Source organism: Homo sapiens, chromosome 1 (assembly GCF_000001405.40).
Source record: "Homo sapiens chromosome 1, GRCh38.p14 Primary Assembly".
NCBI lineage: Eukaryota > Metazoa > Chordata > Mammalia > Primates > Hominidae > Homo > Homo sapiens.
In genome coordinates, this window is record NC_000001.11 from 235,531,598 (window position 1) to 235,545,581 (window position 13,984).

General features: G+C 43.9%; 6 pseudogenes, besides 1 other annotated feature; 1 reads left to right on the forward strand and 5 right to left on the reverse strand.

The window, feature by feature from the left end:
• Positions 443 to 1,642: an enhancer, noted in NCBI's record as "P300/CBP strongly-dependent group 1 enhancer chr1:235695340-235696539 (GRCh37/hg19 assembly coordinates)". NCBI's record gives its function as "activates an origin of replication core promoter dependent on BRD2, BRD4, P300/CBP, MED14 and CDK7 cofactors, with strong dependence on P300/CBP, by STARR-seq in HCT116 cells {active_cell/tissue: HCT116}" and the evidence as "EXISTENCE:reporter gene assay evidence [ECO:0000049][PMID:35650434]".
• Positions 5,923 to 6,444, forward strand: MTND6P14 (MT-ND6 pseudogene 14; annotated as a pseudogene).
• Positions 6,454 to 8,215, reverse strand: MTND5P19 (MT-ND5 pseudogene 19; annotated as a pseudogene).
• Positions 8,448 to 9,819, reverse strand: MTND4P10 (MT-ND4 pseudogene 10; annotated as a pseudogene).
• MTND4LP21 (MT-ND4L pseudogene 21) lies at positions 9,815 to 10,109 on the reverse strand (annotated as a pseudogene).
• On the reverse strand, positions 10,160 to 10,495 carry MTND3P8 (MT-ND3 pseudogene 8; annotated as a pseudogene).
• On the reverse strand, positions 10,562 to 10,793 carry MTCO3P46 (MT-CO3 pseudogene 46; annotated as a pseudogene).

A 13,984-nucleotide genomic window follows, 5' to 3' on the forward strand; every position in this document is an offset into this window, starting at 1 on the left:
AGCTGCTCACTGTTTTCATGTGAACCTTGAGTATCAACTATTTTCCCACCTCCTCCAAGGGGAGAGCATAGCAAAGTGGTTAAGAGCCTGTGCTCTGGCACTGGATAGCCTGGTTCCAGCTTCACCTGTTACGACTTATGTGACTTTGGCAAGTCACTTAATCTCTCATGCCTCACTTTGCCATCTTTAAAAATGGGTTTAATCCTAGTGCTCACAGGTTTGTCATGAGCATATATAAAGTGATATTTGCAAAGTACGTAGAAGACGGATTGGCACCTGGTAAGCTCTGTATAAGGATTTGATCATTGTGTTAGTTTGCTAGGGCTGCCATAACAAAGTACTATAGACTGGATGGTTTAAACAACAGAAATGGATTTCCTTACAGTTCTGGAGGCTGGAAGTCTGAGATCAAGGTGACCACAGGGTTGGTTGCTTTTGAAGCCTCTCTCTCCTTGGCTTGCAGACAGCTGTCTTTTCTTCATGTCCTCAAATGGTCTTCCCTCTGTGTGTGTCTGTGTCCTCATCTCCTCTTCTTATAATGATACCAGTCATATTGGATTAAAGTCCACCCTAATGACCTCATTTTTGCTTTATTATCCCTTTAAAGGCCCTATTTTCAAACACAGTAGCCTCTCTTTTTCTGTGGGGATACATTCCGAGACCCCCAGTGAATGCGTGAAACCATTGATAGTACCAAACCATATATATATATATACCATGTTTTTTTCTATACATACGTACCTATGATAAGTAAGAGATTAACGACAGTAGCTAATAATAAAATAGAACAATTTTAACAATATGCCAGCATCACTACTCTTGTGCTTTGGGTCCCTTATGAAGTAAAATAAGAATTATTTGGATACAAGCACCATAATATCACAACAGTGATAACCAAGACAGCTCCTAAATGACTAACAGCATGGGGTATCTACAGGGTGGCTATATGGATTAAGGGATGATTCACATCCTGGGTGGGACCGAGTGGGATGGCATGAGATTTAATCATGCTACTCAGAATGGAATGCAATTTAAAATGTATGAATTATTTCTGGAACTTTCCATTTAATATTTTTGGACTGCAGTAGACCATGGGTAATGGAAACTATAGAATGTGAAACTGCAGATAAGGGGGAACTACTATATGGTTATATTATGAGGTATTAGGGTTTAGGATTTCAACATACGAATTTGGAAAGGAGGTACAATTCAGCCCAAAACAATAACTAAATGAATAATTTGTGCCTGGACACTGCCAAGCTCCTGCAGCCATTGCTATAGACTGAATGTTTGTGTCTCCCTGAAACTCATCTCTTGAAACCCCACCCCCTAAAATTCAATGGGGCCTTTGGGAGTGATTAGGATTAGATGAGGTCAGGAAGGCAGGATTAGTGCCCTTGTAAGAGTCCTGAGGCAGTTTGCTCCCCTCTGCTCTGGGTCACATGAGAACACAGTGAGAAGAGGGCCATCTGCAGCCCAGGAGAGGCCTCACGAGAAGCTATGCTGGTGCCCTCATCTCAGACTTCCAGCTTCCAGAACTGGGAGAAATACATTTCTGCTGTGTATAAGCTACTCAGTTGGCCGGGTGCGGTGGTTCATGCCTGTAATCACAGCACTTTGGGAGGCCAAGGCAGGAGGATCACAAGGTCAGGAGTCCGAGACCAACTTGACCAATGTGGTGAAACCCCGTCTCTACTAAAAATACAAAAATTAGCTGGGCATGGTGGCTTGCACCTGTAATTCCACCTACTCGGGAGGCTGAGGCAGGAGAATCACTTGAACCTGGGAGGCAGAGGTTGCAGTGAGCCAAGACCATGCCACTGCACTCCATCCTGGGCGACAGAGTGAGAATCTATCTCAAAAAAAAAAAAAATCTACTCCGTCTATGGCATTTGTTTTTTATAGCAGTGTATACTGGCTAAGACCATGCCCTTTTGACTATCTCTGGCTGGCCCCGCGATGGCTGTCTAGAGTGATTTCTCCCCAGCGTTAGCCTGGGACAGCAGCTGGACATCCTTCACCAGCTCCATCAGAGTGACAGCAGCCGGCTCTCCCCCTCTTTCCCTTCTAGGTCCCTGCATGACCTGGCCTTGTAGAGGAGGGGCCCAGCCTTTGGTATCTTGGTCCACTGCTTACTCATTCAAAATTGGCAGAGGTGAAAACTGGAATATAACAGAGAAATCAGCTCACCACAAAAAGACAGCACTACTTGTTAGTATAGTTGAGGCTTGAACAACAGGGGCTTAAACTGCGTGGGTCCACTTATATGTGGATTTTCTTCCACCTCTGCCGCCCGGAGACAGCAAAGCCAACTCCTCCTCTTCCTCTTCCTCCTCAGCCTACTCAATGTGAAGATGAAGATGAGGATGAAGACTTTTATGATGATCCACTTTCACTTAATGAATAGTAAATATACTTTATCTTCTTTATGACCTTCCTTCCTTCCCTTCCCTTCCCTTTCCTTTCCCTTCCCTTCCTTTCCCTTCTCTCTTTCTTTCCTTCCTTCCTTCCTCCCTCCTTCCTTCCCTCCCTCCCTCCCTCCCTCCCTCCCTCCCTCCCTCCCTCCCTCCCTCTCTCTCTCTCTCTTTCTTTCTTTCTCTTTCTTTTCTTTCCTTCTTTCGTCCTTTCCTCTGTCACCCAGACTGGAGTGCAGTGGCACAACCTAGCTCACTGCAGCCTCCAACTCCTGAGCTCAAGCTATCCTCCCATCTCAGCCTCCCAAAGTCCTAGGATTACAGGCATAAGCCACCATGCCTGGCTCTCTTTCTTACAGTTTTCTTAATAAAATTTATTTTCTCTGGCTTATTTTATTGTAAGAATACAGTATATGATACACATGACATAAAAAATGTATTAATTGACTGTTTATATTCTTGGTGAGACTTCTGGTCAACACTAGGCTATCAGTAGTTAAGTTTTTGGAGAGTCAAAAGTTGTGTGTGGCTGGGCGCGGTGGCTCACGCCTGTAATCCCAGGACTGGGAGGCTGAGGCGGGTGGATCATCTGAGGTCAGGAGTTTGAGACCAGCCTGACCAACATGGCAAAACTCTGTCTCTACTAAAAATACAAAAATTAGCTGGGCGTGGTGGCGTGTGCCTGTCATCCCAGCTACTCGGGATGCTGAGACAGGAGAATTGCTTGAACCCAGGAGGCGGAGGTTGCAGTGAGCCGAGATCGAGCCACTGCACTCCAGCCTGGGTGACAGAGCAAGACTCCATCTTGAAAAGAAAAAAAAAGTTATAAGTGAATTTTTGACTGCTAGGAGGAGGGAAAGGGGTTGGTGCTCCTAATCCCTGCATTGTTCAAGGGTCAATTGTGGTTAGAAACAAAGTCAAGTCCCAGCCACCAGAGAGATATTTAATGGTTAATATTGGGTTAATACTGTGGCCCCTTCCTAGACCCTGAATGTTTTCCCAAATAAGTACTTCGACCTCCAAAATGACTTTTGCCCAGGCTGGAGTGCAGTAGCACATTCTTGGCTCACTGCAACCTCTGCCTCCTGGTTCAAGAGATTCTCCTGCCTCAGCCTCCCGAGTAGCTGGGATTACAGGTGTGCACCACCAGGTCCAGCTAATTTTTGTATTTTTAGTAGAGACGGGGTTTCGCCATGTTGGCCAGGCTGGTCTTGAACTCCTGACCTCCTCCTGCCTCAACCTCCCAAAGTGCTGGGATTACAGGTGTGCGTCATTGTGCCCCGTCCTTCGAAAGGCTTTTATCATCACCTCTTGAAATAGCAATTTTGAAGTTTGAGAGCTTTCATTACAGACTTGACCTCCCCTTCTGGTGCTGATTATGGGAAAGTGCTATCTTTCCGGCATATCATGAGTTATTTTCTTCATAATTCAGTTCCTGGAGTGAGGGGGTCTTAGCTTGTACTCCTGTATAAACAGACTGTGATGTTGATGTGTTATGAAACTGGAGCGCGATGGGCACCCAGTTACTAGCTGGTAAGTGTTACTGTCTCTCCTTCCCTCCATGCATCTTCGGCAAATGACCAACTCTTATCTGAAATTCTGAGTCTTTGTGTGGACTCGTTACCACAATAATTATGGATAGGGTAAATACAGTTAATGCCTATTTACTGAGCATGTGTTATGTCCCAGGCATGTGTTAAATACTTATGTGATTTCATGAATCATCAAGAGCTGCCTGTGAAATAGGTGTTATTATCCTCATTTTACTAGATGAAGAAATGAGAGCTTTGGACAGTGGCAAAGCCAGTAGATGTCAGAGCCAGGATTTCAACCCGAGCATCTCTGATTCCAAAGCCCAGGCTCTTTGCCATTCTGATTTTTGGTTTTTGGCCTCCTAAATACCTCCTGGCTCAATTTTTATTTATCTATCAAGCAAGGTGTCTTCTTTCCTCTTGGATTTTCTTCTTCCTATGTAATTTTTTTGTTTTGTTTTTTTGAGACAGAGTCTCACTCTGTATTTTAGGCTGGAGTGCAGTGGCACGATCTTGGCTTACTGCAACCTCCGCCTCCAAGGTTCAAGTGATTCTCCTACCTCAGCCTCCCAAGTAGCTGGGACTACAGATGCGCACCACCATGCACAGCTAATTTTTGTATTCTTAGGAGAGACAGGGTTTCACCGTGTTGTCCAGGCTGGTCTCGAACTCCAGACCTCAGGTGATCTGCCCGCCTCGGCCTCCCAAAGTGCTGGGACTACAGGTGTGAGCCACTGCTCCCGGCCGTAATTTTTAACTAAAGGAAGCTGTGCCAATGTGGATCTGCACTTCCAAATGTTACACACCAGTAAGGGCTAAGATGAAACAACTAATTATTTGATCAGGAGAAAGGTATTAGAAAAGTAGCATCAAAGGCCAGGCACAGTGGTTCATGTCTGTAATCTTAGCACTTTGGGAGGCCAAGGCGGGAGGATCGCTTGAGCCCAGGAGTTTGAGACCAGCCTGGGCAACATCGCGGGACCTCGTCTCTATAAAAAATAGAAAACTTAGGCATGGTGGCGTGTGCCTGTAGTCCCAGCTATTCAGGAAACTGAGGTGGGAGGATTGCCTGAGACCAGGAGGTACAGGCTGCAGTGAGCCACGATCGTGCCACTGCATTGAAGCCTGGGTGACACAGCGAGACCCCATCTCAAAAACACAAAACAAAGCAAAAAGAAATAAATAAAGAAGAGTGGCATCAGCTGCATAGCACTGGATTTGTCCAAACCAATGAATTCCTTTATTTTGCCCCAGGGATTGGTTTATATGTAAAATCAAATTGAATGAAGTCTAATATAACTGAAAAAGAAAAGATGAGATAAAATGTACTAAATAATGAGAATTTTACCAAATGATTTGGAAAGAACAGCCAGAGAATGCATACTTGTGCGCACACCTGGCCATGGTAATAATAGGTCTCTTTTCTCACGGAAACACTTCAGATACTCCCTACTCCTAATAACAGGCCTTATGTGTGAACTAAACGGACCATGTTACCTTCGTGTTTCATGGGACAATGTTTCTTTCCTCTTCAAGCTGTTCTTTCACTTCTTAGCAGCAGTGGCCCTCCCCGGCCTTAATTACCACAATGAAACCAGTACACAGCTACACTGTGTGAAGGTGCATTTATAGAATGCAGGTGCTTTTTGATTTTTAAATGGCAAGAAAGTATAACAATACTATGAAGTCAATAGTGTGCACACTCCAGCCTGGGAGACAGAGCAAGACCCTATCTCAAAAAAAAAAAAAGTGTGCTTTCATGGTTAATTAGTAGCTGCTTTTTTTTTTTTCTTTTCTTGAGACAGAGTCTCACTCTGTTGCCCAGGCTGGAGTGCACACTATGAGTAATTAGTGAGTAACTAATAATTTTTATTAGCGAGTGTGTTTTGCGGATATTGACCATTAGTGTTCTTCTAGTTGAAGTTCAACAATGATTTTTCATGTCATTAGTCATAGTTATAGTCCATGTGGGAACAATGGCATATTTTATATCTTTATTAAGTGTCCTTTTGGTTATAGGGTTTGTAGGTTTCTCCTTGAAACCTTCTCCTATTTATGGGGGCCTAGAGCTAATTATTAGTGGTGCTGTAGGTTGTGGTATTGTGTTGATTTTTGGTGTGGCTTTTGTGGGGTTGACAGTCTTTTTGGTTCACTTGGGTGGCATGATGGTTGTTTTTGGCTATACCATGGCAATGGCTGCTGAGGAATATCCTGAAACATGAGGGTCAAATATTGACATCTGAGGGGCTTTACTATTATGAGTATTAAAGGGGTTGCTGTCGGTTTGGTGAATAGTTGAGCATGATGGGGTGGGGATCATGATTGATTTTAACAGCATAGAGAGTTGGATGATTTTTGAGGGGGAGGGGGAGGGGTTGTTGCATGAGGATCCTGTGGGTGCGGCTGCCTTGTATAGTTATGGGTGTTGAATAGTGGTAGTTGCTGGTTGATCATTATTTGTTACTATTTACGTTGCGATTGAAATTACTCGGGGTAATAGATTAGATAATTAGGAGTAGGGTTAAAAGGGATGGGATAAAAAAAGAGAGAAAGTAGAGTTTAATTAGGCCTTTTTGAGTAGACACAGTAATGGAGGCTGAAATTTGGGTTTGTGAAATGGTCTTTGGTATAGACTTTTCTAGTCAAATTAGGTCTAGTAGTAGTGAAGCCAGATTTTGGCTTGTGGATAGGTTTGAGTTGGGGGTTGTATGGTGAATTGTGACTGAATAGAATCCTAGTATTTTGGAGAAGTTGAATGTCTGTAGTGGGTATTTTAGTTTAAGGTTATTAGTTATGAGATTAAACTCCATTGCTAGTAAGAAGCCTAAGGTGGTCACACCTAGGGCTGTGAGCTTCAGGTGGAGTGGTATGGTTGTTTGGGGGGATGACGCAGGAATAATACTGTTGGTGAGGAGGAATCCGGCGAAGATGCTGCTGATTGTTAGGTGTTTAATTAGGAAGGGGTTATTTTCGTTAATAATAACCAGAGTCATGAAGTAAGGTTGCCCTATTAGAGCGAAGAAAATAATATGGGTACTGTAGACAGCTGTCAAGGAGGTGGCAATAAGCGTAATAGAAAGGGCTCAGGCATTGGTGTATGATGTGTTTGCAGGTTCAATAATGAGGTCTTTGGAGTAAAAGCCTGTGAGGAAGGCATACCTGTAAGTTGTGAGGCTGCTGATAAAATGGGAGGAGGAAGTGAGGGGTAGAGTCTTGAATAGCCCTCCTATTTTTCGGATGTCTTGTTCTTCACTGAGGTTATGGATGAGGGACGCTGAACATATAAATAATATAGTTTTGAAAAAGGCATGGGTGCAGATGTGAAGGAATGCTAGATGCAGCTGATTAATGCCAATTGTGACTATTATAAGGCCTAACTGGCTTGAGGTGGAGAATGCTATGATATTTTTGATATCATTTTGTGTTACAGCACAGGTGGCTGTGAATAAGGTAGTAATAGCCCCCAGACATAATGTAAAGGTTTGGATTGATAGGTTATTTTCTATTAAAGGGTAGAAGCAGATGAGCAGGAACACTCCTGCTACAACTATAGTGCTGGAGTGGAGTAGGGCTGAGACTGGGGCTGGGCCTTCTATGGCAGATGGGAGTCAGGGATGGAGGCCGAATTGAGCTGACTTTCCTGCTGCTGCTAAGAGAAGGCTAATTAATGGGAGGGAGTTGGGGGTAGGGTCTAGAATTTATTTTTTGCTGATATTCTCATGTGTTGGAGGACAGGAGGAATCATGCTATAGCTGAAATAAAGCCAATATTGCCGATGCGGTTGTACAGAACTGCTTGGCTGCTGTATTAGCATCTGCTCGGCCGTACCATCAGCCGATTAGTAAGAAAGACATGATTCCTACGCCTTCTCATCCAATGAAGAGCTGAAAGAGGTTGTTGGCGGTAACCAGAATTAATATTGTGATGAGGAAAATAAGTATTTGAACAATTGATTAATGTTAGGGTCTGAGTTTATATATCATATTGAGAATTCTATAATAGATCAGGTAATGAACAGTGAGTGTTACTGGGATAAATATTGTGGAGAATTAGTCTAGCTTGAAGCTTAGTGAGAGTTTGAGAGTTTGGACGGTCATTCAGTGTCAGTTTGAGATAATGACTTCTTGGTCTGTGCATATCAACATTGTTGTAGGAATGAGGCTAATAACGAAGGCACATGCGATAGATGTTTTTACGTAATTTGGGTGTGAAACTTTTGCGGGGGTTGGCTAAGGTAATGGTAATCGGTAAGATTAAGGGGATTAGGGATGTTATAGCAGTGGAAGAATACATGTTTGTTGCTTTATTTGGAGTTGCACCAATGCTTTTGGCTCCTAAGACCAACGGATGACTCTAATCCTTTAAAAGTTGAGAAAGCCATGTTGTTAGGCATGGGGGCACGAGTTAGCAGTTCTTGCATACTTTCTCAGTAGGTAAGAAGTTGCAGGCTTCTATGATTAGATCTGCAATCTAATGTTTTGGTTAAACTGTAGCTACAGCATGCAAACCCCATAATAAGTTTAGGGTTTAAAGATAATAGGAAGATAGACGCAAGATGTATAAGTATTAATGTGTTCTCTCGTGTAAAGGAAGGTTTAGTACTGTTAATATAATATGCAAGTGTCCCTCGTTGTGTTGTGATTAGCATATTTAGGGAGTAAAGGGCTGTAATTAGTATATTAAGTCCTATAAGCATAATAGTGATATTAGATCAGAAGAATGAGGCCACGGTCACAAAGAGTTCTACTAGATTAATGGTGTGGGGTAAGGCAAGGTTAGTAAGATTTGCTAGAAGTCATCAAGAGGCTATTAGCAGAAGCAGTGTTTGAAGGCGTTCGGTAAGTAATAGGGTTCACCTATGGGCCTGCTCGTAGTTTGAATTTGCTAGGCAGAATAGTAAGGCTGAAGTGAGTCCATGAGCAATTATAAGGGTGACTGCACCTGTTAAGCTTCAAGGGGTCTGAATGAGGATAGCCATGATAACAAGTGCTATGTGGCTTACAGAGGAGTAGGCAATACATGATTTTAGATCAGTTTGTCATAGACAAATAGAGCTTGTCATAACTCTCCCTCATAGGGACAGTATGAGGAAAGGGTATGCTATATGTTCTGTTAGGGGATTGAGGAGAAGAGTAAGTTGTATTATACTGTAGCCACCTAGCTTTAGGAGTCCTGCTCCAGGTACTATCGAGCCGCAATAGGGGCTTCTACGTGGGCTTTGCGGAGTCATAGGTGAAACCTGTATAGAGGTATTTTTACTATAAAAGCTATGATACATGCTAGTCATGTAGGATTGTTGGATCAGGAGGCTAATGGCTCTTGGGTAGTAAGTATTATTACTAGCATGTTTAGTGAACCTGAGGTATTTTGAGTATAAACAAGTGTTACAAGTAGAGGAAGGGATCCTACTAGTGTGTAAAATAGAAGTATGAGCTTGCATTGAGGCGTTCTGGTTGGTTGCCTCAGTGGGTGATGATAATTAGGGTAGGAACTAGTGTGGCTTCAAAGGGGATATAAAATATAATTAGTTCTGTGGCTGTGAATGCTCTGATTAAAAAAGTCAGTAGGGAAATCAATATAGAAATATAGAGCTTTTTTCATGGGGGTGATTCATTGGACAGGTGATATTGGCTTCTAGCAAAAACTGTAAGAGGCAGTAGACAGGCTATTAAGATTAGAAGCGGTGACGTCAGCGGGTCAGAAGAGAAAATTAATGAGAGGTTGGATGGGTTATCGCTGAATTGGTTAAAAAATAGTAGGCTGGCGAGGCTGATGAGTAGGCTGTGAATAATCATGTTGATTCAGATTATAGAATTTTTAGAGAATCATGTCATTGGTAACAGTATAATTGTTGGAATAATAATTTTTAGCATTGAAGTAAATTTAGATTTTGTACGTAATCCAGGCCATATGTGTTGGAGATTGAAACTAGTAAGGCAAAGCCCACTGCAGCTTCGCAGGGAGCAAATACTAGGAGGATGATGGGGATTATGGGTGCTAGAGTGAAATGTATGCTTAAAGCTGTAAGAGTATTTATGATAACTATTGATAGTATTATGCCTTCTAGGCATAACAGGGATGATACTAGGTGGGATCGATAGACTAATATCCCTAGCAGTGATATGGTGTGTGCTAATAAGGGCATTTGGTAAACATGGTCTATCATAATCTAATGAGTAAAAATCATTTATTTTGGCTTAAACTATTTACCAATTCATCCCGGTCTAATCCTTTTTGGGCTCATTCATGTCAAGCCTAGGATTAAAGTGGTAATTGTATAAGGGCTGCGCTGATTATTAGTGTCAGGTTGGTTATTTGAAGGGCTCATGGCAGGGGTAGTAGTAGAGTGATCTCTGAGTCGAAAAGGAGGAATGTGATGGCTACTAGGAAGAATTTTATGGAAAAGAGGAGGCAGGCGGAGGCTATTGGGTCAAATCTGCATTCACAGGGGCTGGATTTTTCTATATAAGTATTACGCTGTGGGAGCAATGCAATTGTTATTAGTAATAGGGCCAGTAAGGTGTTGGTTACTAGGGCTAGTGTCAGGTTGATTACTCTCTTGGATATTATTGAAACTGATTGGAAATCAATGGTATTGTTTATACTAAAAGAGTAGGATCCTCATCAGTAGACAGAGACGTGTAAGAATAGTCATACTACATCTACGAAGTGTCAAATCAGACGGCAGCTTCAAAGCCAAAGTGGTGGCTGGATGTAAAGTGGAATTTTAATTGGCGGAGAAGGCAGATAGTGAGAAATGTTGATCCAATGATAGCGTGAAGTCCGTGAAAGCCTGTGGCTGTAAAGAACGTTGAGCCGTAGTTTCCATCGGAGAGAGTAAAGAGATTGTGCAGTGAGCACAATCTCAGCTCACTGCAACCTCCGCCTTCCGGGTTCAAGCCATTCTCCTGCCTCAGCCTCCCAAGTAGCTGGGATTACAAGCAGGCACCACCATGCTGGCTAATTTTTGTATTTTTCTTAGAGATGGGGTTTCACCATATTGGCCAGGCTGGTCTCGAACTCCTGACCTCAAGTGATCTGCCTGCCTTGGCCTCCCAAAGTGCTGGGAATACAGGCGTGAGCCACTGTGCCTGGCCCTGCATTTTTTCTTTAAATGAGGTATGGAGGAGATGAGAGCCTTTTGGCTCTTTTTTTTTTTTTTTTTTTTTTGAGACTTTTTGGAGTTTCACTCTTGTTGCCCAGGCTGGAGTGCAATGGCACGATCTCGGCTCACCGCAGCCTCCGCCTTCCGGGTTCAAGCGATTCTTGTGCCTCAGCCTCCTGAGTAGCTGGGATTACAGGCATGTGCCACCACGCCCAGGTAATTTTGTATTTTTAGTAGGGACAGGGTTTCTCCATGTTGGCCAGGCTGGTCTCGAATTCCCGACCTCAGGTGATCAGCCTGCCTCTGCCTCCCAAAGTGCTGGGATTACAGGCGTAAGCCACCGTGCTGGCCGAGCCTTTTGGTTCTTAAATGCCTCAGTCTGACAGCAGGCAGGGTAGTGGTGTTGTCAAGTGGACTGATTCAAATTCAAATTCAGTCACTTAGTAGTTGTCTAACATCTGGCAAGTTACTTAATTTGAATTCAGTTTCTTTTCTTTTCTCTGTTTCTCTCTCTTTGAGACAGCATCTCTTTCTGCTGCCCAGGCTGGAGTGCAGTGGCACGATCTCAGCTCACTGCAGCCTTGACCTCCTGATCCCATGTGATCCTCCTGCCTCAGCCTCCTGAGTAGCTGTAATTACAGACATGCATTACCATGCCTGGCTAATTTTTAAATTTCTTGTAGAGATGGGGTCTTGCTCTGTTGACCAGGCTGGTCTTGAACTTCTGAGCTCCAGCAATCTGCCCTCCTCGGCCTCTCAAAGCGCTGAGATTACAGGTGTGAGACACTGCACCCAGCCTAAACTCAGCTTCCTCATATTTATATGAGGAACCTACATCTACCAAATGAGGATAAAGAATATCACAATGCAATTTGTAAAGATTTAAAAACTCCTGGCTGGGCACAGTTGCTCACACCTGTAATCCTAGCACTTTGGGAGGCCGAGACAGGCAGATCACCTGAGGTCAGGAGTTTGAGACCGGCCTGGCCAACATGGTGAAACCCCATCTCTACTAAAAATACAAAAATTAGCCAGACATGGTGGTGTGTGCCTGTAATCCCAGCTACTTGAGAGGCTGAGGCAGGAGAATCGCTTGAAACCGGGGGGTGGAGGTTGCAATGAGCCGAGATTGTGCCACTGCACTCCAGCCTGACAGAGCAAGACTCTGTCTCCAAAAAAAAAAAAAAAAAAAAAAGAAGTTAACTCTTTTGCTTAAGACCTGGCACATGATGTTCGCACTCAACAAATATTGGTTCCCCCGCCCCCCTTTCCTTGGTTACTATTTCAGTCTTCTAAGGGTTCATTCACACCCCTAAGGAGAAGCACTTAATGTCAAGAAAGGACTAGTAGTAACTTTCATGCATTTATTCAGATAATACCTTCTGATTGCCATCATGTGCCAGATGATATGTTAGGTACTGGGAATGAGTAAAACCATATAAACCAAATGGTATCCAAGATAGGTGTCAATCAGTTTAGAAAGTTTTTTGTGCTAGGGTTAAGAACACACCCATGACACAGCCTCAGGAGCTCCTGACAACATATGCCCAAGGTGGTCGGGGCACAGCTTGATTTTATATATTTTAGGGAGACATGAGACATCAATCAATATATGTCAGATGTACATTGGTTCAGTCCAGAAAGGCAAGACAACTCAAAGTGGGGAGGGGCCTTCCAGGTCCTAGGTAGATAAGAGACAAACTGTTGCATGCTTTTGAGTTTCTGATTAGCCTTTCATTGAATAAACAGTTTACAGCAGTGGTCCCTTACCCCCAGGCCGCGGACCAGTATGGGTCTGTGGCCTGTTAGGAAGCAGGAGGTGAGCAGCCAGTGAGTATTACCGCCTGAGCTCCACCTCCTGCTAGACCTGTGGTGGCATGAGATTCTCATAGGAGGGTGAACCCTATTGTGAACGGTGCATGGGAGAGATCTAGATTGCTCCTTATGAGAATCTAACTAATGCCTGATGATCCAAGGTGGAGCAGTTTCCTCTGAAACCATCCCGCCCACCCCACATCTGTGGAAAAAATGTCTTCCACAAAACCAGCCCCTGGTGCCAAAAAGGTTTGGGACTGCTGATTTACAGGACTAGTCACTTATGCCTTAGTCTGGCTTAGTGAAACAATAGGGCAGAGCAAGCAAATCAGATGTGCATTTGTCTCACATGAGCAGAGGGATGACTTTGACTTCTGCCTGTCCTTTGTCTGCAAGGAATTTCCTCATGGGCAAATTGTGAGGGAGTGCGGGGCTTGCGGGGGTGGTGGTGGTGGAGGGTGGGGTGGGTATGTAGCTATCTTACTTAGGAATAGAGTGGGAGGCAGGTTTGCCCAAGGCAGTTCCCAGCTTGACCCTTCCCTCTGGCTTAGTGATTTCGGGGAGATTTCTTTTCCTTTCACACCTAGAACCCCGGCTCTCAGAGGGTTTATGGCATTGTGGGGGAGACAGATCTTCCTTGAGTCATCACTTACACAAGTGTACAACTGCAACCATGACACGGGTCTCAAAGGAGAGCCTCGCAGTGAATAAGAACCTAGAGATAGATTTGACCTCGTCAGAGAGGTCAGAGAAGGCTTGAGTCTTCAGTGATGCTTGAGTCAAGATCTACCAAATAAGTCCATCTGGCAAAGAGAGGAGGGAAGAGTGTGCCAGGCAGAGGAAGCTGCAGGTGCAAAGGCCTTGTGGCAGCAGGGAGCATGGCTAGTAGGTGGGTTTGAATCATGACCAGCGTGGATGGAGTACAGGGTTTTCAGGGGGAGTGAGGTGTGAAAGTGACGCTGGAGAGTAAGTAGGAGTCAGGGCAGGCAGGGCCTTGGAGGCCACCCTGGGTCACTAGTGAATCTTTGAAGTAAGTGGCTACAATACCAGCATGCGGTTAATGATTGTATGTGGGTTTGAACATTTACAAGTTAGTAAATTATGTATAGCTGAAACTG